Source organism: Homo sapiens, chromosome 12, assembly GCF_000001405.40.
Source record: "Homo sapiens chromosome 12, GRCh38.p14 Primary Assembly".
In the NCBI taxonomy this organism is placed as follows: domain Eukaryota; kingdom Metazoa; phylum Chordata; class Mammalia; order Primates; family Hominidae; genus Homo; species Homo sapiens.
Genome location: NC_000012.12, coordinates 109,219,450 through 109,243,284, shown reverse-complemented (window position 1 = coordinate 109,243,284; position 23,835 = coordinate 109,219,450). Strand labels below are relative to the sequence as shown.

Here is a 23,835-nt window from a genome sequence, read left to right as displayed (position 1 = left end):
TTACTCAAGGCAGTGACCCCCTCCTCTTTCCCACAGCTGTCTAGACTTCGAATGGTGCCTGGTAAGTAGCAGGTACTTAATAAATGACCATTAAAAAGACCAGAAGGAAACACATCAAAATGTTAAGCAATTTGTCATCAGAGTGTGGGACTAGGAATTATTTTTTCTTTGTTCCAACCTCCTTTATTTTCTGAAGTTTCTATATCCTATGACTTTTATCATTGGGATAAATTAGTCTTATTTGGAGAAAAATACTATGAAGTCGTTCTCAACACATTCATTTCTTTTTCTTCAATGCAGACCTTGTTCTTTTTTTTTGAAGACGGGGTCTCACTCGGTCACCCAGCCTGGAGTGCAGTGGTGACATCATGGCTCACTGCAGCCTCGACCTCCCAGGCTCAGGTGATCCTTCCTGCCTCAGCCTTCAAGTAGCTGGGACTACAGGCATGCGCCACCACGCCCGGTTAATTTTTGTATATTTTGTAGAGATGGGGTTCTTCAACTCCTGGGCTCAAGCAATCCTCCCTCCTCGGCCTCCCGAAGTGCTGGGATTATAGGCGTGAGCCACCGCACCTGGCAAGACCTTGTCCTTTAGACTAGGTCTTTAGAAGGAGAATTAAGGATGGGCTTTGGTTCTGGTGGAGTCTGCTGGGAGGACCCAGGGGGTACCGCGTCTGAGCCGCCGGACTTGCCTGCCTGAACATTTCCGGGAAGTCATAGATGTAGGTGGTTCCCAGGGTCTGGGCCTGGAATCGCTTGGCCTGGAGCAGATCCTTGGTGACGTAGGGAGTATTGATCAGCATCCCGTGCTGGGGCCCTTGCTTGTTGCCGAAGGAGTGAAACATGATCTGGACCAGAAAGGAGGGAAAACAGAGAGTGAGAGAGAATCACACATCTCCCCCAATTTATTTCTGCCCAGTCCTCAATGAAAATGCAGGTGGGGGAAGCAAAGCATGTCACATGGCATGACAAAGTGAGTGCCTGGGCTACGTAAAACTCCCTTCTTCACCACTGTGGAGGGCCAGAACAAGAAGGGACAACAGGGGCTGTGGAATGCAGTTCCAAAAATACAGTGATCAAGGCATCACACACTCCCAACAACAGGCATGCATGGAAACGCTGGTGAAATCCGAACGTGGTCAGTGTTGGTGCGAACAGTCCTGTGCCAATGTCAATTTCCTGTTTTAATGATGTGCAATGGTGAAGTTCAATCAACATTACCATTGGGGGAAACTGGGTGAAAATCCTCTGCACTATTTTTTTTCTTCTGTACTAATTTTGCAACTGCTTGAGAGTCTTCAGTCTTCAATTACTCCAAAATAAAAAGTGCATAGACCAGGCACAATGGCATGTGCCTGTAGTCCCAGCTACTTGGGAGGCTGAGGCCAGAAGATTGCTTGAACCCAGGAGTTCAGGCCCAGTCTAGGCAATATCTCTTTAAAAAATGGCGTGTATATATATGTATATTTTTATGTACACACATAGGAATTTAAATGGCAGTCAAAAGAACATTTAATTCACTTTACAAAAGTCTGTCCTAGAACATGGTTGGGAAAGTATTTCCCTAAGTGAACCAATCTGAGGACTGCATTACAGTCAACCACAGTAGTGCACAACTTATCCCAAATATGGCCATATGGCCAGGCGTGGTGGCTCACGCCTATAATCCCAGCACTTTGGAGGTCGAGGCGGGCAGATCACTTGAAGTCAGGAATTCGAGACCAGCCTGGCCAATATGGTGACACCTTGTCTCTATCAAAAATCCAACATGGCCACAGAATGGATTAAACTTGGAGATTCACTCTCCTTTTTAGGTGAGTGAAAAACCAAGATTCAAAGGCTAACACATTTAACATAACACTCAGAGGGGGCTACCCCAACCCAGAATGACATGGGAGAGCAAGGCAAGACCGCCTCCAAATGCCATCTTAATCTACAAATTGATGGCCCAAGCAGCCTGCTTCTGCTTTGACTTAGACCCCCACGGCGCGGGCCAGCCTTACATTTCCAGATCTGGAGTCAGTCACTTCTTTGTAGAGGCTGATGTCCAGGTAGTAGCCCGACTCATTGGTGATGAACAGGCGGATGGGAACGGCACTGCCGGTGGTGGTCTGGCGGATGTTGATCTTGACCTCAGCCTGTAGCACACGGAGTTTCCACAGCCGGCTGCCGTAGCGCATAACCATGTAGCGCACGGACTCCTCGATCTGCCCCAAAACACAGCAATTCCAGTTTCAGGGCCAAGACATCCCAAGGACATTTGCAATAGCACTGATACTAATAAGAGGATGAGATATACTGACTGCAAAAACGCCTGGGACATAGTGTGTATCCAACAAAAAGTATTAACTAATAACAAGCAACGGCTCTTGCTAAGCATTTAAAACTCTACCTCATTTTGCCTTCGTAAGTACTCAAGAGAGGCGAGCTTTTCTAATCCCTCACTGACAGATAAGGAAACTGAGGCTGATAAGTGACTGAACTAGTACTGCTATGTTATACTATCTTTACATGCCTTTGACTCAAGCCATTGCACTGCTTCCTTCTGGAACTACCTGAACTAGTGAGGCCAGAGCCTCCACATGGGTCCCCTGAATCCCCCAGATACCAAACGGATGTATCAGGACTTCTCTTTTTAATAATACTATTGTATTAATTATTTTTAATAATATATATTATTAAATAATAAAATAAAATACATTTATATATTTTAATAATATTAATATATCGATATTAATATTAATTTGATTAATAATCTTAATATTTTATTTTTTAATTTTTAAAATTTTTAGTAGAGATAGGGTCTCTCCATGTTGCCCAGGCTTGTCTCAAATTCCTGGGCTCAAGCAATCTACCCACCTCAGCCTCCCAAAGTACTGGGATTACAAGTGGGGCTTCTTTCATTCCAGAATCACCACCATAAAAGTCTGTCTGCTCGTGAAGAGCCACCTGACAGGGAACATTCAGCCACAGACCTCACGGTCTCACGTCTCTCCCCACCCACATGCAGTCCCCAGCGCAGCCTGGAACCAGGGAAAGGACAAAATTTTGTTTTGAAAGACATTTTGAGCATGCTTGTCATCCTTAAAGTAAAGCATTCCCGTGCAGGGCATGGCTAAAACATAGCTCTAGAATTGAATGGCAGAAGGTTTGCTCTCCTCCCGCAGCAACTGAGGCTCAGATACGCATGGTTTCATCCTGGAACCCAGGTCTTGAGTGGCAAGAGACAATACCCCAAAGCAGCATGGCTCAGAGGGTGAACCCAGAGCCCGGTGAGAGCCCCCCTGCAAAGGCGAGACCTTGAAGGGGTCCATGATGACAGTGGGCACGAAGTTGAGGAAGATGTGGTTGCAGTCGGTGCGCACGCTGGTGTTATTGAACGCCACCTCCAGCTCGTCCATGGCCTCCAGGAGCAGCCGCTCACCCTCGTTCTGCAGGTATTCGAAGGAGGCTTCCTGCCAAAGAGTGGGAGGGGCAGCTGCTCAGGCCAGGGGTGCAGGCCTACTCCCAGCTGGCTGGAAACTCAGCCCCAAAGAGGCAGAGACAGGAGGAAAACATTCCCCTCCTCCAAAAAGTGTGCCAGGCAAGAACAGCAGAGCCCTGCCTCTCAGAGGCGAAGGGACTGCAAAGCTGTTGAGTGTATTGACATGTGTCCTATTTTCTGCATTCTGACACTTTGACACCTGGGGCCTTGCTGACCCTGGATCATACCTGGGGACACAAACCACCTGCTCTAATCACCCAGGGCCAGATTCCTGAGAACCAGAGACAGCTTCTATATGCCAGGGTCTGCTGAGATGATTCACAGCCAATCCTAAACCTGTTTACTCAGCCTCACTTTTTTCTTCTCCAGGAAACCACAATCAAGGCTCTCGTCCACGTCTTCCATGTCTTCCCCTCTGTCCCTCTGCTGCCTGACCAACCCCAGAGCCTCCCCATGTGGCCCCATGGCAGGGAAAACCCCTTCTTCTTGGGAACTATGAGTAATAAACTGTCTTTTTGATGGCAGTTGTCTCCTTATCTGTTGGCCTCACCATACCTCAACAATAATAAAACCTATTAAAACGGCTTGGCCAGGCACAGTGGCTCACGCCTATAATCCCAGCACTTTGGGAGGCCGAGATGGGTGGATCAGTTGTCAGGAGTTCGAGACCAGCCTGGCCAACATGGTGAAACTCCGTCTCTACTAAAAATACAAAAATTAGCTGGGCATGGTGGTGGGCGCCTATAATCCCAGCTACTTAGGAAGCTGACGCAGGAGAATCGCTTGAACCCGGGAGGCAGAGGTGGTAGTGAGCCAAGATCACGCCACTGCACTCCAGCCTGGGTGACAAGAGCAAATCTCTGTATCAAAATAAAAATAAAACATCTAGCTGACAGGTAGCAAAAAAACTGCAGTTAGCTTAATATCCATCAATAGGGCCAGGCGTGGTGGCTCACGCCTGTAATCCCAGCACTTTGGGAGGCCGAAGTGGGCAGATCACCTGAGGTCGGCAGTTTCAGACCAGCCTGACCAACATGGAGAAACCCCATCTCTACTAAAAATACAAAATTAGCTGGGCATGGTGGGGTGTGCCTGTAGTCCTAGCTACTCAGAAGGCTGAGGCAGGAGAATTGTTTGAACCCGGGGGTGCGGAGGTTGCAGTGAACTGAGATTGTGCCATTGCACTCCAGCCTGGGCAACAAGAGCAAAACTCCATCTCCAAAAAAATATATATATATAATAATTATATATACATTTATATAAATATATATTTATATAAATACATATAATATGTATTATATTATGTATATATAATGTTATATAACATATTATATATTATATTATGTATATTATATGTTATATTATATAATATATTATATATATTATTATATATAATTATATATATAATAATATATATATGTTTCCATCAATAGGGGATTAGTAAAAAAAAAAAAAAAATTATACACGGTACATCCATGCAAGGAAATAATATGTGGTGGACCACTCTTTATTAACAATGAAAGAGGTCCACAAGTGACTGACCAATTAAAGAATAATATATTCAAATGATCTGTCCACTCTCAGCTCTTATCTGCAACTTATGCCTACAACTCTAGGTTTCAGGGACGGAATTGTGTCTAGAAACAGTCAACAACTAAGCTGGCCCCTCAGTGACAGGATTCTCGGTCCTTGCGCTAGGTTCTTAAAAATCGTTTTCAGTCTTATTTAAAATTTTCACAATATAATCATGGATTACTTCTGTTTCTTTTTTTCTTTTTTTTTTTTTTTTGTGATAGGGTCTCACTCTATCCCCCAGGCTGAAGTACAAGGGCTCCATCTCAGCTCACTGCAACCTCCGCCTCTCAGGTTCAAGCGATTCTCATGCCTCGGCCTCCTGAGTAGCTGGAATTACAGGTGTACGCCACCACGCCCAGGTAATTTTTGTATTTTTAGTAGACACAGGGTTTCACCATGTTGGCCAGGCTGGTTTTGAACCCCTGACCTCAAGTGATCCGCCCACCTCAGCCTCCCAAAGTACTGGGATTACAGGCATGGGTCACTGCACCCGGCCATGGATTACTTTTCTAAATGCAAGAAACAATGGAAAACGATCACTCAGTCAGCAAATATTAAGAAATTCCCTGAACAAACCAGTATTTTTCTATCCTGGAAATTTTCTTCTCATGCGCAGAGACCCACATAATACAAGAAACAGATCCAAGTGCCACCAGCCTGGACGTGATCACAGGCCACTTTGCTGTCCGCCTCCTGCCCTGGACTGGAGCATAGCAAGGGCAGGACCCTGGGTGTTGGTGTACTCTCCATCCCCAGCATGCAGCCCAGGACCCAGCACAGAGCAGGAATGTAAGGAAGGGAGGGCCAGGTTCTGAGAGAGGAAGAAATGCTCTGCGACATCTTACCTTTGTGATCAGGTCAGAGTGCCTGATGATGGCGCGGATGAAGAACCTATGGTCCGTCACTTCCACACCTTCCTTCACCTTGGCAGCACCCAGGTAAAGGTGCATCTTGTGGTTGGCACAGGGCACGGCGGTCAGATCGAAGTTACGCATCCGGTTAAGTTCCAGCTGGAAGGCCAGGGCAGGTTCCAAGTGACGGTAAATGCGATCTTCTGCAAACTGTAGGCGGACCAGAGAGAGAAGACAGACACATACACACACAGCGTGACGTTGGAGCTGCGTCCCTGCTTGGTCCACACCCTACTCTGCAGACCCCTGGTGTCCATGGGTTTGGCACTCAGGAATGCAGCATTCATGATGTTCCCTAATTGTAAGCTACCCCCAGGGCTCCAGATATTTGGGGTTTTGCTAAGATCTGAGGAGAGCTATGGGCATTGCAAGCCTGTTGTGCTGGGTGCAGCGCTGGCTCCTGGGGGAACCTAGCTAGTCCCTATCACCTGCCAGCGTGACCAGGCTGTTCTCCATCTGTCACAGCCTGTGGCAATTCTCATGAAGCCACTAACCCCTGGTTTCTTGGTGGAAATTGGTCCCCGAAAAGAAAGCAACTGACAGTACTGGAAACTAAACTGAAAAAAAAAATGAAGACATTAAGAAAAGGATGTGTCTTAGCTAGAAAAATAAAGCTTTGGATAAATTAAAATGCAAAATGCTGAATTTGGTGGGGTCTTGAATCAGTGCTGGGAATAAACCTACCTGTTCTACAACAGGGATCGGTAAACGTTTTCTTAAATGGCCAGAGAGTAAATGTTTTAGGCTGATGGATCATACGGGCTCTGTCACAACTACTCAATTCTGCTACTGTTAGAGTGAAAGCCAGAGTAGACAATGTGGAATCCAACGGGTGTGGCTGTGTTCCAATAAAACTTTATTCGTAAAAACAGGCAGCTGGTCTGCAAGTGAGTTTGCCAACCACTGTTCTAGACGAGCATAAGAAAAACAGTTTGGAAAAAATGTCTTACTGAGTACATCAGCAAGTACTGAAAATTATTCAAGCAAGACAGAAACCTGTAGTGAGGCTGAAAGGGCAAGATTCTCAGGTCTGAGTGCCATGCAGGGAACAGAGGGCTCTCAATGGAAATACAATCCCAGAGGAAGACTGCAGTCTACACAAAAGTTGCTACATTCTTGAATATGGGGATGCCTTAAGGACTGCAGACTATATTCTTCATGAATATCAAAGATGCCAGGGAGCTGGGAGGCACGGTGGCATGTGCCTATAGTCCCAGCTATTCGGGAGGCTGAAGCAAGAGAATCGCTTGAGCCATAAGTTCGAGTCCAGCCTGGGCAACATAGTGAGACCCCATCTCTTTTTTTTCCTTTTTTTTGAGACAGAGTCTCACTCTGTCACCCAGGCTAGAGTGCAGTGGAATCACCTTGGCTCACTGAAACCTCTATTTCCCAGGTTCAAGCAATCCTCCCACCTCAGCCTCCCAAGTAGCTGGGACCACAGGCTTGCATCACAATGCCAGGCTGATTTTTTAATTTTTTTGTAGAGACAGGGTCTCACTATATAACCCAGGCTGGTCTAGAACTCCTGAGCTCAAGCAAACCTCCTGCCTCAGCCTCCCAAAGTGCTAGGATTACGGGCTTGAGCCACCACACCCGGCCCCATCCCATCTCTTAAAAAATAAAACAAGATGCTAGAGAAGAGAAAACATCATTACTTTTGGCCATACCTCATCTCTTGCTCTGAATGTGAAAAACTTGGGAAATTCTTTCTGCAAAAAGAAATCCACACACAAGACAATTAAATCAAGCAAGACGCACTGAAATATGTACATCCTTATTTAGTGATTGTAAACGATTACATTCACTTCTAGAATGAATCATTTGGAAATCCTTCTCCTTTCTAATGATCTCTTTCACCCAAATCTACAAAATAAATATCAAATAAATGGCACACACCAAGGCTTGGAGAATGGGAAAGACTCATAGAGATGAACTGTGAACTAACCTCTTGGGCAATCAAGAATGTGATTCGTCGGAGTCCATAATCCACAAGGATATTTTTCTGCATTAAAAACCAAAGACACAATGGAATATTATTTGGCCGTAAAAGGAACTGAAGTATTGCTGCATGTTACCACACGGATGAACCTGTAAACATTATGCTAAGTGGAAGATGTCAATCATAAGAGACCTCCTGTGATCTGATTCCATTTATATGAAACGTCCAGAATAGGCAAATCTATATAGAGAGAAAGTAGATTAGTGGTTGCCTAGGGCTGTGGTGGGGAGAGGGTTTTTGGGTTGGGGACAGAGGGGAGTGACTGCTAACAGGTACAGGGTTTTTCTATGGAGTGATGAGAATGTCCTAAAATTGATTCTGGTGATGGTTGTACAACCTGGTGAATATACTAAAAATATATTAAATTGTACACTTTTTTTCTTATTTCTTCTAAAAAAAAAAACAGGATACATGTGCAGAACGTGCAGGCTTGTTACACAGGTATATATGTGCCATGGTGGTTTGCTGCACCTACCGACCTGTCCTCTAAGTTCCCTCCCCTCGGCCCCCACCCCCCGACAGGCCCCGGTGTGCGTTGTTACCCTCCCTCTGCCCATGTGTTCTCAATGTTCAGCTCCCACTTATGAGTGAGCACATGCGGTGTTTGGTTTTCTGTTCTTGTGTTAGTTTGCTGAGGATGATGGCTTCCAGCTTCATCCATGTCCCCGCAAAGGACATGATCTCATTCTTTTTTATGGCTGCAAAACTGCACACTTTAAATGGGTGAATTGTGTAGTATGTCAATGATGTCTCAATAAAGCTGTTATTAAAAAGATAATTAAAAAATATCACATTGTATACTGTAAATATATATAATTTTTTTTGAGACAGGGTCTCGCTCTGTCCCCCAGGCTGAAATACAATGGCATCACAGGCTTACAGAGCAACCTGCTGTTATTGGCACACTTGGTCATCAATGTAAGTAGCCATTTTAAAACTGCCAGTTTCTGGATTATTCCAACAAAAACACTCCCAGAAAATCTCCAAACTATTTATTGGGTGTGCCCTCCGTACCTGGGACTGGCTAAGCCGTGTATATACTTTGTCATTGAATCATTGCAACACCGTGAGCGAGAGAAATGCTGACCCCACGTTCAGCCACATCTGCCCAAGGTCGCCAGCTATGAGGCGAGCAGAGCTAGAGTGGGAAGCCAGGTCTGTGGCTCTGAAGTACTCAGCACGCCTGCCTCCCCAAGGGCCGCCTCGACGAGCCCAGCCCCTCCTCCTTCTCCAAGAACCCCCACCAAAACCAGAGGCACGCCCAGAGTACCTTGGACTGTACGAATGTCCGTAAAATCGGCACCAGTGCCTCATCCTCCAGGTGGTCTGCACACTGGATGGACACATTCAGAATGTGGATGGGCTCTTCTCTGAGGCTCTGAGAGGGAGAAGCAAGGGGTAGGGCTGGAAAGCCTGGGGGCCACGGCCCACCTGCTCCCCAGGTTGCTCCCTGGGCTTAGACGCTTACCTTGCAGTCATCCTCGGAGTATAGGGAGGTGCGGGCCTCGCTGAAGAGGGGGGTGTCTTTGGGCACGTTGGCGAAGCAAGAGATGACTTCATCAAAATTTCTGGGGGTGCGGGTAGAGAGGGAGGGCTGAGGGGCTGCTGACCCATGGGGATGAGGTCAAGCTTCCAAGCCAGGCAGCAGGGAACGCCAGACCCTCCCAATTTCCCAGCCAACACCCTTTGATCTTATCCAACTCTACAGAGCTCAGGAGGTTCCCTGTCTACTTTGTCCAGAGCACCCGTGATGGGGTCCTTCCCAAAAGGGAAGAATGAACCTAAGTGATCTGTGATCAGGAATACAGGGAAGGATTCCAGCGCTTTCAGGCATCAGCTGGGCTTGAGATCAACTCTTGGCTCCCATTTTTACTGGCTGGGAGATCCTAGAAACCTCACCTCACCCCGAGTCAAAGAAAGGTAATAAGAGTAATCCCTATGCCTCATGAGGCTGTTGTGAAAATTCCACAAGATACTCCAAGCACAAAGCAGAACACACAGTGAAAGGCTGAAAAAAGACTATAACAGTAACTATTGAGAGCTAACATTTAGTCACTATATTATCTGCATACTAATTATACTTTAAATATGTTATTTCACATATGTTATCTCATTTAATTCTCATGGCGCACCTATGAAGTGAGTCCTTTATTATTCCCATTTTACAGATAAGAAAACGAAGGTATGGAGAGGTAAAAATATTTTGCTCAGTCTCTTAGTTAGAAAGCACATAGCCAGAATTCAAACCAGGCAAGCTGACACGCAGGCTCACACTCTTGGCTACGATGCTCTTATTATTCTGTTGTTATTGATGTGCTGTGCCAGGCAAGCTGACATGTAGGCTCATACTCTTGGCTACAATGCTATTATTATTCTGTTGTTATTGACATGCTGTGCCACGTGTCTGGGTCTCTCCCACCCCATCTGTCCAGTGAATTGGGGGGGGATTCAAGGGAAGTCTGCCCAGCCCCCATGCTCAGGGTGTTGGAGACCGGGCCATGCTGGGTACCTGGTGAAGTCCTCGAATCTCCTGAAGGCTACCATGGCTCCCATGCGCTGGCACAGTGGGGAGAAGCCGCTGTCCATGAAGAGCTCTGTGCTGTGCCTCAGCAGGTCAGGGTTGGTGATGCTGATGGGCACGGTCATCCTGTAAGGTGATGGCAAGTCGGGGATGAGGCAGCTGCTTGCAGACCCAACTCTACGAGCTGCTCCTACTCCTGAAGCTTCAGTGAGCTGGACCAGATTTAGAGCTCTTCCAAATGGGGGCTTAAAATGGGCAGGGGATGAGACAATGGCTGGGGCCGGGGCCTGAGGAGGGTCTCATCTGATCCCTCAGGACCTGGTGAAGAGTAAGAGCTCAACAAGTGTAGGAATCAATGATTCATGCATGAGAGTCCAGTCTCAACACAGTCCCGAGGGGAGCCCCAAGTGCTGAACTTGACCACAGAGAAGAAACACTCCCAGCATCAATTTCTCCTGGAGAAATCCACCAGCCCCAGGCAGCTGGTGAGGCAGTCAGGCTTGGTCCTGACGGACACTCCAGTCCTCTGCTCCCTGTAATCCCTCCATCAAACTTGCCCTTGGGACAAAGTCAGCAGCCTTCTGGAGTTTAGACAACGATGCTCCCAGAACTGGCTGCTCACCAGCAGCAAATCTCAATGGGCCACCTGAGGTTGTTAGAATTGGGCCTTGGAATCAGATACGGGAGGGGTAATGAAATGGTGTGCAGGAAGTCAGCACAGCAGGCCCCACACTGCTCTTCTGAGAAAGGAGACCTGCTTGCTTGCAAGGACAGCCCTTGGCTGGCCTCTGGGAACTTGGACTTGGGGAAGGTTCCTATCGTTCCCTGAAGGTGACAAGGGGGGCTCACTGTGCCTCAACTGTTTGCACAAACAGTGTGGTTTATGCTGAACACCTGCTTTCTTCTGCAAGCCTGAGATTTCGATGCAGAGCAGAGGGTGATGTGACCAGCCACCAATCCCTGGTGCGGGGCTGGAAGACAACCCTTCACTTGTGTTGTCACAACTCCTTGCTGGGGGAATGAAGTGCACCCTGCGTGAATCCACTGGGAGAGGACCCTGGCAGCACACCTGCTTTCCTCTGGACTTCACCCTGATGCCTTCTGCCTTGGCTAACTGCTTTGTATCCTTGCCCCCTAATAAGTCAGAGCTATAAGCATGACTATGTCCCGAGACCTGTGAGTTCTCCTAGGCGATGATCGAACCTGGGGGTGCTTTTGGGGACCCTGACACAGGTGTGTGCATTCCTGTTGGGTGCTCTGAAATCACGATCATGGCCCCTCTGCTCCCCGACAGCTCAATCCAGGGGTCACAAACTTGCAGTGGCAGTGTGGCTGAATGCCACTCACAGAATGACTTTGGTCCATGCAGCATTTTAATAACATACATGAATTAACATGTGTTCATGTATTCATTTAACATGAATTACCTGTCCCCATTGAAAAATGGAAGGACTTCAGGTTAAAAAAAAATAGATTTCCTGCTTCTGCTGGAAAAAATCATGGAGAAGTCTGGTTGTGATGGTCAGTTTCCTGCAGGGCAACAGTGGGCAGAGCTAGGACAGCAGCCCCATCGCAGGGGGATGTAGCCAGTTCCCACCCAGCACAGAGGTCCAGGTCCAGGCTGCAGCTGGCACAAAGCCCTGCCAACTTCTCATCTGACCTTCCCTTGGGTCTCGGTGACCTAAAGCACCATGTGCCTGGCTCTACACACACAAGTGTTGAGGGCCAAGCCAGGCCATCTTGGGGATAGACTTTATTCCTCATGGCCCTTTACAGAGGCATTAAAGGGCTGGTTGGTGGGGGCAGCCGCAGGCAAGGTCTCTTCACAGGCCCAGAGTACATTTCTGGCACTGAGAGCAATCATGAGAATCTTAGATGGCCAGGAATCCCCCAGGGTCCTCAATGTCTCTCTGGGTCAAAAAAGGACCCTGTGCCCATACTGAAAATCACAACCAATAACCTGGATATACGTGTAGCTCACAAGGCATGACCCACAGCCCTCAGGAGAGCCGCCCTTCCCTTCCTAACAGGGCTGACTTGCTGGGACAATAAGATCAAAAGAGAAGGCCAGGCACAGGGGCTCGCGCCTATAATATCAGCACTTTGGGAGGCCGAGGCAGGAGGATCACTTGAACCCAGGAGTTCAAGACCAACCTGGGCCACATAGTGAGACCCCCATCTCTGCAAAAAAATATTTTTAAAGAATTAGCCAGGTGTGGTGGCGCAAGCCTGTGGTCCCAGCTACACAGGGAGCTGAGGTGGGAGGATCACATGAGCCCAGGAGTTCAAGGCTGTAGTGAGCTATGATCACACCACTGCACTCTAGCCTGGGTGACAGAACTAGACTCTGTCTCTAAACAACCAAACAAAAAAATCAAAAGAGTCCTTCTCAGGAGTAGACAGCTACAAAATATCTTACACCACCACTGCTCTCCAAATCCCCAGAATGACCCCAGGCTGCAAGCAGTCAGTCCCCTTTCTCTCAATGGGGTAAAATGTCACAATCCTATTTTTGGAAATAAGAAGGGTAAAAACAAATAACTAGGAAAGGCAGTGCCTCGTGGGGAAGCCCCCTTTTCTTCATCCAAAACATAGCAGCATCTTTCTTCTTAAAACCAACAGGAAAAGAAAGTTATTTTAAAAATCCTAAGAGGCCAGAAAAATCCCCGCTTCACCAAAGCATGAACCCTATTGCCTGTACAGATCTGATCAACCGAACTCCCAAATCACAATGACATCAATGCCGCCGTAGGTAAGGCCTTGGGCACCCCCATAAGAACTAAAACCAGAGGGGTGAGGGAGCGTGAGAGAGAACACTTCGAATCCCAAGGAGACATAATTACTTTAAGAGAAGGTATCCCACTCTACCTGACCTAAATGGTATTAATACTTTGGGTCCTGAAACAAGATGGACTGAAAAAAAGACTGTGAGTGAGGAACTCAGACACATCAGATATTTTTAGGTGAGCCAGGCATGGTGGCGCCTGTCATCCCATCACTTTGGGAGGCTGAGGTGGACAGATCATTTGAGGTTAGGAGTTCCAGACCAACCTGGTCAATGCAGTGAAACCCCATCTCTACTAAAATTACAAAAAAAAGTAGTGGGGCTTGGTGGTGCATGACTGTGGTCCCAGCTACTCAGGAGGCTGAGGCAGGAGAATCGCTTGAACCCAGGAGGCGGAGGCTGCAGTGAGCTGAGATCGCGCCGTTGCACTCCAGCCTGGGTGACAGAGTGAGACTCCATCTCAAAAAAATCAAAAAAAGATATTCTCAGGTGAGAACACTGAGGGTATCTACTGAACTACAGCTCTTGGACAGCAGACTACAGTGGACACAGACAGGACAGGTGCCCTCACACCTGGCTCAGAGGGCCCCTGAATGCTGTGGAAAGGACTTGGAGGTGAGAGTGTGGCCTGGGCTCAAATTCCCACTCCACGTGCACAAGCAGCTCAGCCTAGGTCAGGTGAGGGCCCAGGGCTCCCATCTGTAAAACGAGGATGAGAACACATTTTTGGCCGATAGAGGATAAGAGCTGAATAAAATAAGAGTGTGGGCTGGGCACGGTGGCTCACGCCTGTAATCCCAGCACTTTGGGAGGCCAAGGCGGGTGGATCATCTGAGGTCAGGCATTCAAGATCAGCCTGGCTGACATGATGAAACCCCATCTCTACTAAAAATATAAAAATTAGCCGAGCATGGTGGTGTGCGCCTGTAGTCCCAGCTACTCGGGAGGCTGAGGCAGGAGAATCGCTTGAATCTGGGAGCTGAGATTGTGCCACTGGCACTCCAGCCTGGGCAACAGAGCGAGACTCCATCTCAAAAAAAATAAATAAATAAAAGAGTGTGGGAGCACTGAGCAGAGTGCCCAGGCCAATGGCATGCCACTAGATGGTAATAACAGCGTTAGTCATGATCATCTCCGGGATCACTTACAGTCAACAACTTCCTTTGTGCCAGGCACTGTCTAAAATGCTACATGTGCCTTATCTCATGACTCTTCCCAATGGCTTGGGTGGCATTGTCTACTAGAACTTTCTACCATGACAGAATGTTCTAGAACTCCACTGTCAAATAATATGGCAGCCATGAGCCACCCAGTATGACTGAGAAGCTGAATTTTTTTTTTTTTTTTTTTTGAGACAGAGTTTCGCTCTGTCACCCAGGCTGGAGTGCAGTGGCACAATCTTGGCTCACTGCAACCTCTGCCTCCCAGGTTTAAGAGATTCTCATCCCTCAGCCTCCCGAGTAACCTGGGATTACAGGGGTGTGCCACCACGCCTGGCAAATTTTTATATTTTTAGTAGAGATGGGGTTTCACCAAGTTGGCCGGGCTGGTGTCAAACTCCAGGCCTCAAGTTCCTGATCTGCCCCCTTCAGCCCTCCGAAGTGCTAGGATTACAGGTGTGGGCCACCATGGCTGGCTCATTTGCATTCTTTGTTTTTTCTCTTTTTTTTTTTTGAGATGGACTCTTGCTCTGTCACCCAGGCTGGCGTGTAGTGGTGCAATCTCAGCTCACTGCAACCTCTGCCTCCCGGGTTCGAGCAGTTCTCCCTCAGCCTCCCGGGTACCTGGGATTACCAGTGCACACCACCATGCCAGGCTAATTTTTGTATTTTTTTTAGTAGAGATAGGGTTTCACCATGTTGGCCAGGCTGGTCTCGAACCCCTGACCTTGTGATCCACCCACCTCAGCCTCCCAAAGTGCTGAGATTACAGGTGTGAGCCACTACTGTGTTTGGCCTCTTTTTTTTTTTTTTTTTGAGACGGAGTCTCGCTTCTTCGCCCAGGCTGGAGTGCAGTGGGGCAATCTCAGCTCACTGACTCACTCTGCCTCCCGGGTTCAAGTGATCCTCCTGCCTCAGCCTCCCCAGTAGCTGGGATTACAGGCATGTGCCACCACGCCCGGCTAATTTTTGTATTTTTAGTAGAGATGGGGTTTCACCATGTTGGCCAGGCTGGTCTGGAACTCCTGACCTCAAGTGATCTGCCCGCCTCGGCCCCCCAAAGTGCTGGGATTACAGGCATGAGCCACCGCGCCTGGCCCATGTGCATTCATTTTAATGTAAATAGGCACACATGGCTACTGTACTGAACAGTGCAGGTGTAGGAGGTGGGCTCTGCATTATCACCATGTTAGAGGGGAGAAAATGGCGCTGCAGGGAGCTCCCACAGGGGAAGTGCTTATCGCTGATGTCTCCCCAGCAGCGTGCCCAAACACACTTGCCAGGTCCTTCCAGAGACAGGACGACAGAGGTCAGGAAGAACAGAAACACAGGCCGTCCCTGGGTGTGTCCCACTCCATACCGGTTTGGGTGGGAGGACGGCAGCATGAACTGGAATTCTACCACGCAGGTGCCGTCCGGGAGCTGCCGGTGCTGCAGGCTGTTTAACTCATAGGCGATGTAGCCCCTCCGCACGTAAACCTGACAAGGCAGAAACACACGGACATTCTCTCAGGGGCCACTGCAGAGTGTGCTCAAAAGCTGAGGGCACTCACGGGGAACAGGTACCAGAAATGACCTCTAAAATATCTATCTGTAAGCAGGCCGGGTGCAGTGGCTCAGGCCTGCAATCCAGCATTTTGGAAGGCCAGGGCAGGTAGGTCACTCGAACCCAGGAGTTCGAGACCAGTCTGGGCAACATGGCAAATCCCCATGTCTACTAAAAATACAAAAACTAGCCAGGCATGGTGGCAGGCGCCTGTAGTCCCAGCTACTCGGGAGGCTGAGGTGGGAGGATTGCTTGAGCACAGGATGTTGAGGCTGCAATGAGCTATGATAGCACCACTGCACTTCAGCCTGGGCAACAGAGAAAAATCCTTCCTCAATTAAAAAAAAAAAAAGATTTCTAAGCAGCAGTTAAGAGCAAATTTGCTCATATTTCAGAGTGTTACTAGTTACACAAAATCCACTCTAAACTCTAGAGCAGGGGTTGATAAACTTCTGTAAGAGATAGGTAGTAAATATTTTAGGCTTTGTGGGACATATCATCTTGGCTGCAACTACTCAATTCTGCTGTTAGCACGGACGTAGCTGTGGACAACATGTAAATGAATGGGTGTGGCTGCATTCTTCTTTTTTTTTTTTTTTTTTTTGAGATGGAGTTTTGTTCTTGTTGCCCAGGCTGGAGTGCAATGGCATGATCTCAGCTCACCACAACCTCCTCCTCCCAGGTTCAAGCGATTCTCCTGCCTCAGCCTCCTGAGTAGCTGGGATTACAGGCATGCACCACCATGCCTGGCTAATTTTGTATTTTTAGTAGAGACGGGGTTTCTCCATGTTGGTCAGTCTGGTCTCAAACTCCCGACCTCAGGTGATCCGCCCGCCTTGGCCTCCCAAAGTGCTGGGATTACAGGCATGAGCCACCGTACCTGGCCGCGTTCTGATAAAACTTTACAGAAACAGGTGGTGGGCCAAATATGGTCCATGGTCTATAGTTTATCAAACCCTGCTTTAGAGCAGTGCTGTCCAACAGAAATATAACACAAGCTGTGTATGTAACTTTATTTTATTTATTTACTTTTGAGACAGGGTCTCACTCCATCACCCAGGCTGGAGTACAGTGGTGAGATCATAACCCACTGCAGCCTTGAACTCCTGAGCTCAAAGGATCCTCCCACTTCAGCCTCCCAAGTAGCTGGGACTACAGGCACCACCACACCTGGCTAATTTTTTTTGTTTTTTATATTTAGTAAAGAAAGGATCTTCCTATGTTGCCCAGGCTGGTCTGCAACTCCTGAGTTCAGTGATTCTCCCACCTCAGCCTCCTAAAGAGCTGGGATTACAGGCATGAGCCACCTCACCTGGCCTATAATTTTAAATTTTCTAGTAACCACTTAGAAAAAAGATAAAAAATAATTTTAATAATATATTTTATTTCACCCCACATATGCAAATATTATCATTTCAACATGTAATCAATATAAGAAATTATTGAGATGGTTTACATTCTTTTCTCCATACAGTACTACATCTTTGGAATGGAGTGTGTATTTTCCACTTAGAGCACAGCTCGATTTAGACTGGATGCAGTTCAAGTGCTCACTAACCACACGTGGCTGGTGGCTGCCATAGTGGACAATGCAGTTCTGGAGTTTAAACACTGGAAGCTTTTCAACTGAACAGGAAATGCGGGAACTGGGCAGCAGGAGCTAATACAGCAATTAGCAGACATAATTGCTTTCCATTAAAAGACTTGCCCTTGGCCAGCACTGGGGAACTTGAATTTGGGGAAGGTTCCCACCATTCCCTGTCAAGAATGGGGTCAGGCATGGTGGCACACGCCTGTAATCCCAGCACTCTGGGGAGCCAAGGCAGGTGGATCGCGTGAGCCCAGGAATTCCAGGCCAGCCTGGATGACATGGCAAAACCCCATCTCTACTAAATATACAAAAATTAGCTGGGCGTGGTGGAAAAACAAAACAAATAAAAAAACCCAAAAGCATCCTAGAAAAATCTCTAATTGACACAAACAGCATTTAGCACTTTAAAAAGTAACTGTAAGTCAAGCATGGTGGCATGCACCTGTAGTCCAAGCTACTGGGGAGGGTGAGGCAGGAGGATCGCTTGAGCGTAGCAGTTCAAGTCCAGCCTGGTCAACACGGCAAGACCTGTCTCTAACAAAACAAAAATTGTGTTTAAAGTAACTACAGAAGAGGTGTATTAGGTCTCCCTGTTAGAAACAAAGAGTGAGGCCTGAGAAAGATTCTTCCAGAGGTGAAACCCATAGAGGAATAAAAGTTGCAGGCCCAGGAGACCCTGTGGCTGTAATATGCTAACAAGCCCAAGATGGTCTCCAGAAGACCCAGTAAACCTTCTCACTGTGTGACTCACAGGCTCCCAAGGATGCAGAAGAGAAAGTGGGGGCAACAGGGGACTGAGACTCTGAGCTCAGAAGATAAAGAATATTGGAAAAACTACTGCCAGCAAAGCAGACCCGGGTAAGAGGGCCGTGTTAAAAACATATTTTCTTAAAAAGATTCTAAAAGGGCAGCAGATTTATTGGGAGGCTGAGGCAGGCAGATCACTTGAGGTCAGGAGTTCCAGACCAGCCTGGCCAACATGGTGAAACCCTGTCTCTACTAACAATACAAAAATTAGCCAGGTGTGGTGGTGGGCGCCTGTAGGCCCAGCTACTGGGGAGGCTGAGGAAGGAGAATCATTTGAACCCAGGAGGCAGAGGCTGCAGTGAGCCGAGATAGTGCCACTGCACTCCACCCTAGGCACAAGCGAGTCTCAAAATAATAATAATAATAATAATAAAAGAGCAGATTTAAAACTCTGATTTCCTGGAACCAACACAACACTTCTTGGTTCCTGAATTCAAGAAGACCTGAATTCTTGCTCCCGGGAGCAAGACCACCTGGGATCACCTGGCTCTAATCTGGGTTTTGCTACTGGCCACGCCCTTCTACCTCATCACTCGGGGGGCAGGGGGTCACCTTAAGTTGTCACCTGGGCTCCTCTAGCTCTGGCAGTTCCAAGCAGAAAAGTCTTTCAAAGGTATTTAATGCACGTGAGTCAGAAAGTTTAGATGAGGTGCCTCAGACTTGGCTCTCAGGGATTAGTATTTAATGTGCCCTGCCTGGAAGAGGCTGGAATGACATGAGACAGCAGTGGTAACTAGCATGGAATCTGGAATGAGGCAGACCCAATAATGCAAAACCTGGTTCTGCCACTTTCTAGCTGTGTGACGTTGCATAAGTCACTTGACCTCTCTGAGCCTCAGTTCCTTCCTCTGTAAGATGGGACTATTAACATAGCTACCTTGAAGAGAAAAGGATAGGATCACATTCACCAAGGCATGTGGCCTAGGGTCAGGTGCATGGTAGCGGCAGTGAACACTAGAACTGGCATGGTCAGTGCTGTTCTCTGGGCCTCTCCTGCTTACCTCCAAGGACGCCATGCACACGACTTTGTTTGCGTGATAGAAGAAAGTAGGCAGGACGTCGAAGATGGTTGTTTCCGAAAGTATTAATTTCTAAGGGAAATGAAAAGGGGAAACAAGGAAAAGTAAATGTGAACAAGTTTCAGGTTTTTCTTTGTTTTTATTTGAGATAAACTGGAGTGCAGTGGTGTGATCATAGCTCACCGCAGCCTCAAACTCCCAGGCTGAAGCGATCTCCCCACCTCAACCTCTTGAGCAGCTGGGACTACAGCGTGCGCCAACATCGTGGCTCTTTTTTTTGTGTGTCTATTTTTTGTAGAGACAGGGTCTCACATGTTGCCCAGGCTGGCCTCAAATTCCTGGGCTTAAGTGATCCTCCAGTCTTGGCCTCCCGAGTGCTGGGATTACAGGCATGAGCCACCGTGCCCAGCCAGTGAGTAAGTTTTTTAATCACCAGTCTGATGAGTGGGGGCGGTGGGAGCAGGCAGAAGTCATGCTTTGACCACTAAAAGCGATCAGTGCCCTGCAGCGCGCTGGGCTCCTCCCCTATTTAATCATAGGAGAGCTGGTGAAGAACTCCGGGATGACGGCACCTGGGACAGGTCTCCCATCAGGCACTGAGGGGGTACCTGAGAACATGTAAATGAGCCAGAGTCCAGGAATAGGGAAGATGAGGCCGCGACTCAGCCACAGGAGGGCTCACAGCTTCCAGATATGCTCCATATGGCTGAGGTTTGTAAACTGCACCAGGTGAGCCCCCACTGCTGTCACACTGTCCTTCCTGGAGGACTGGGCTCCATGCCCACCTCTCCTAGAGTCTCCCCAGGTGACCCCTCGGGCAGCCCTGGCCACATTGGGCTGAACTGTCTGCATCTGTGGCTGTGCCCTGCACCCCACTGAGCACCTGGAGGGCAGGAGGAGCCGTTTCCCCAGAGGCCCCCACCTGGGCCACAGTGTGTGCTCTGCAGATGGTGAAAGGAAGGAGACGGGCTCACCTTGAGGTTCTCGGGGCAGAACTGGTGGCCGTACATGTCAATGGCAGACAGGAAAATGGACTCCACCTGGTTATGCCGCAGCTCGTAGGAGGGGAGGTGGGAGGCAATCAGGATCTGCAGGGGGAGGGATGGGGGCGCTGGCGTGAGCCAACCTCCCAGGGCAGAAGGCAGAGGCTCGGGCACGGGCCGGCAGCACGGTGGGACTGTGCATGGTGAGGGCTGAGCACGGTAGGGGACACATAGGAGGGTGGGGGGAAACGCACATCGTGGGGACCGCACCCTGAGACCCTACCTGCCGGGCTCTGAGGGCCACTTTGCAGTGCTCGCTTTTGCTCAGCTGAGTGAGCTCGTTGAGGATGGAGATCAGCTCGTCCGACAGGGAAGGGTCTGGGCCACACAGCTCATCCTTAGGGGACAGAAAAAGAAGCCAAATGGCTTTTCTCCAGCCCAGGGAAACATGCAGCACTCATCTCGACTTGGGGAGCACCTGCCGCAAAAGCCAGGCGGCTGCTCCACTCTCCAAACAGGCCCAGCACAGCCTGTTATGCAAACCCTCACCACTTTCTACTGTGCACCCACCCCAGTCAGTCATTCATTCACTCACTCACTCACTCACTCGGCCACCCATTCATCCACCCCACAACATGCCCTAAATGCCTGGTAAGAACAAACAAATACAACTAAGTCCCTGCCTACGTTACTATTAATAGCCAGTGATTAGGCCAGGCATGGTGGCTCACACCTATAATCCCAGCACTTTGGGTGGCTGAGGCAGGAGGATCGCTTGAGCTCAGGAGTTTGAGACCAGCCTGGGCAACAGCGCAAAACCTTGTCTCTACAAAAAAAAAAATAGAAAAATTAGCCGGGCATGGTGGCACATGCCTGTAGTCCCAGCTACTCAGAAGGCTGAGGTGGGAGGATGATTTGATCATCCCTTGGGAGGTGGAGGTTGCAGTGAGCTGAGATCGCACCACTGTACTCCAGCCTGGGCAACAGAGCCAGACTCTGTCTCCCCCCCAAAAAAAAAAAAAAAGGTCAGTGATTATCAGGCACATACTATGTGCCAGGTGGCTAGTAAACAGCTAGACCCTTTATATACAACTCCCCAAATTCTCCCACCCCCACGAAGAGTTACTTATTTTGATTCCCATTTTACAGATAGGAACACTGAGGCTCAAAGAGGCAATATGCCTCACCCCAAAGCCAGCAAACATGTGCAAGACAGAGCCAGATTCGAACACAGCACTATTCTGCCCCCAAAGCCTCCCGCTCCTTCCCCTACACATTGCTGCCTGACTTAAGGCGCTCACGGTTTCAGAGGAGAGGGACGTGGGGTTGAATCTTGCAGGAGAGGGAGGGACAATGTGTCTGTGTTGCATCCCTCCTCTCTGCTTCTGAAAGAAGGGCCTTTCTGCTGGAGACCAGGCCTGGGTGCAGCCGGTGTTCGCATCTCCTCTTATGCCCTAAGTGCATATGGGGCTTGGGAACAGCTCAGCGCAGGTGCTCCCTAACCACCCACTGAAGATGGAGCAATGAATGCTAAATATCAGAGCTCCTGAGCAATATGCCCCCATTCCCCACCCCGGGCATCCACTAAGACTGGTCTTCAAGAGGTCACCAGATGGTAGAGCTGTGGGGCATTTTTTTCTACATGTGTTTCTGCATTTTCCTATTATAATGAACCGAGACTGATTTTATCATCAGAAAAAACTTCAACATATTGATATTTCATACACAAAGACACAGGAACATCAATGCTGAAGAAATGTGGTAGGAAAGTGTTCTAAATCTCCTCTCCCTTCTCTGATTTGCTTTCTATTATTAAACGGTGGTGGCATAACTCCCCACCAATCCCCTAGGCATGTGGCTCCCAGGCCAGACAGCACAGGTGCTGGCCAGCAGCTAGACTGGTGCTTTTCTAAGAGGTGAAAAACTCAAGAGTTTGTGTGAACATTTTTTAAATTTCCCCCCACACATCTAAGTGTGAATGTTAAAAAATCTAACCATTGCCTTCTACATACAAAAGATAATAATAATAATAACAAAAACATTTTTCTAGGCAGGGCATGGTGGCTCAGGCCTGTAATCCCTGCACTTTGGGAGGCCAAGGCGGACAAATCATCTGAGGCCAAGAGTTCAAGACCAGCCTGGCCAACATGGCAAAACCCTGTTTCCTACTAAAACTACAAAAAAATTAGTCAGGTGTGGTGGTACGTGCCTGTAGTCCCAGCTACTCGGGAGGCTGAGGCAGGAGAATCACTTGAACCCAGGAGGCAGAGGTTGTAGTGAGCCGAGATTGCGCCACTGCACTCCAACCTGGGTGACAGAGCAAGACTCTGTCTCGAAAACAAACAAACAACAACAACAACAACAACAACACCATTTTTCTTTCTTGTTAACTTTGTGAAGCAGTCTCATCTTGTATATTTTAGTTCTCAGAATCATGTTTTGTTTGCTTCGTTTTGTCACTAACGAAGTCCCATGACCAGTGAACTGGTGTCAGAAACTAGGTCCCTTTAAAAGCCTCAAAAAAATTCATTTCGAAATAATCATTCAATTCACAAGTCTTTGTTCAAAACCTCTCAGGTACCAAATACCATCAGGTGCAGAGAACTCACTATTTTCTAACAAATGGGACCAAGAAAGTCAGAAGAATAATGAATCTCACATTTATCCCGAGACTGTAATTGGTTCAACATTTTTAGCCTCTATCACCAAGGAGGTCCAGGAAAATGTCCCAATTCCCAAGAACTGGGGGCTGCTCCACCCATCTTCCCTTGGCTGTCCTCTGGTGTACATGATATTTCATGACTTCATGCCCAGAAGAGAGTCAATATGTGCACAGAAGAACGAACAGCAAAATAACCCACAGACCCACTGCCTTTGAATGGCAAGCTGACTGTAATAGATTACAGGCATATTTTGCTTGACAAACACTCAAACTCCAGGAAACTCCATCCAAAGAATGTATTTTGAAAAACATTATATTATTTTAGTAATAGAACTCCCCCCAAAGAGTGGATATCTCCTTGGGCATAAATTCCCAGTCCTGGCTGCGTGTTGCAATCACTTGGAGAGTCCTCTCTCCCAATTAATTTTTACAAACTTCAAAACTACAGAAGAATTGAAGATCAGTATGTTAAAAACCCATAGTAATCACCTAGATTCACTAATTGTTAAAACTTTTGCCACATTATCATATTTGATTTTTCTCTAATAAGAACGTACGTGCGCATACACATACACACTCTCTCTTTTTCTGAAAGTCAGTTGCAGACACCACAATCCTTTACACTATTTTCGCACATATCTCCCTTCCACCTACTACAGAACCATTAAAACACCAAAGAAACTGAACATTAAACCAATAATATTATCTAATATACAGTGCACATTTAGGTTTCCCACAGGGAAACTTTCAAAAAGCACTAATGCCTGGGCCCTACCCCTAGAAACTCTGATT

The 23,835-nt window shown here is 47.8% G+C and overlaps 1 protein-coding gene across 17 annotated transcripts in view, besides 2 other annotated features; it reads right to left on the bottom strand.

The window, feature by feature from the left end:
* ACACB (acetyl-CoA carboxylase beta) overlaps window positions 1-23,835 on the bottom strand; it is a 157,038-nt gene that overhangs the window by 24,942 nt on the left and 108,261 nt on the right. For 15 of the 17 annotated variants that reach the window (XR_007063072.1, XM_047428764.1, NM_001412734.1 and 12 more), the window contains 13 exons: window positions 20,665-20,778; window positions 20,373-20,486; window positions 19,381-19,470; window positions 15,796-15,914; window positions 10,479-10,616; window positions 9,438-9,537; window positions 9,240-9,347; window positions 7,916-7,972; window positions 7,638-7,679; window positions 5,905-6,120; window positions 3,300-3,455; window positions 2,004-2,207; window positions 693-848 (listed from right to left, as the gene is read on the bottom strand). Coding sequence is in view for 16 of the 17 variants with exons in the window: in XM_047428764.1 (XP_047284720.1) it covers window positions 693-848; window positions 2,004-2,207; window positions 3,300-3,455; window positions 5,905-6,120; window positions 7,638-7,679; window positions 7,916-7,972; window positions 9,240-9,347; window positions 9,438-9,537; window positions 10,479-10,616; window positions 15,796-15,914; window positions 19,381-19,470; window positions 20,373-20,486; window positions 20,665-20,778 (1,614 nt within the window). In the remaining variant the exon portion in view is untranslated. Of the gene's footprint in view, window positions 1-692; window positions 849-2,003; window positions 2,208-3,299; window positions 3,456-5,904; window positions 6,121-7,637; window positions 7,680-7,915; window positions 7,973-9,239; window positions 9,348-9,437; window positions 9,538-10,478; window positions 10,617-15,795; window positions 15,915-19,380; window positions 19,471-19,524; window positions 20,007-20,372; window positions 20,487-20,664; window positions 20,779-23,835 lie in introns of those variants that run through there. The other 2 variants (XM_011538265.3, NM_001412741.1) reach the window with 2 other exon arrangements.
* Window positions 2,874-3,373: an enhancer, noted in NCBI's record as "H3K4me1 hESC enhancer chr12:109677717-109678216 (GRCh37/hg19 assembly coordinates)". NCBI's record gives its function as "activates a minimal SCP1, AML or CMV promoter by ChIP-STARR-seq in naive H9 embryonic stem cells {active_cell/tissue: H9 hESC(naive)}" and the evidence as "EXISTENCE:reporter gene assay evidence [ECO:0000049][PMID:30033119]".
* Window positions 3,374-3,875: an enhancer, noted in NCBI's record as "H3K4me1 hESC enhancer chr12:109677215-109677716 (GRCh37/hg19 assembly coordinates)". NCBI's record gives its function as "activates a minimal SCP1, AML or CMV promoter by ChIP-STARR-seq in naive H9 embryonic stem cells {active_cell/tissue: H9 hESC(naive)}" and the evidence as "EXISTENCE:reporter gene assay evidence [ECO:0000049][PMID:30033119]".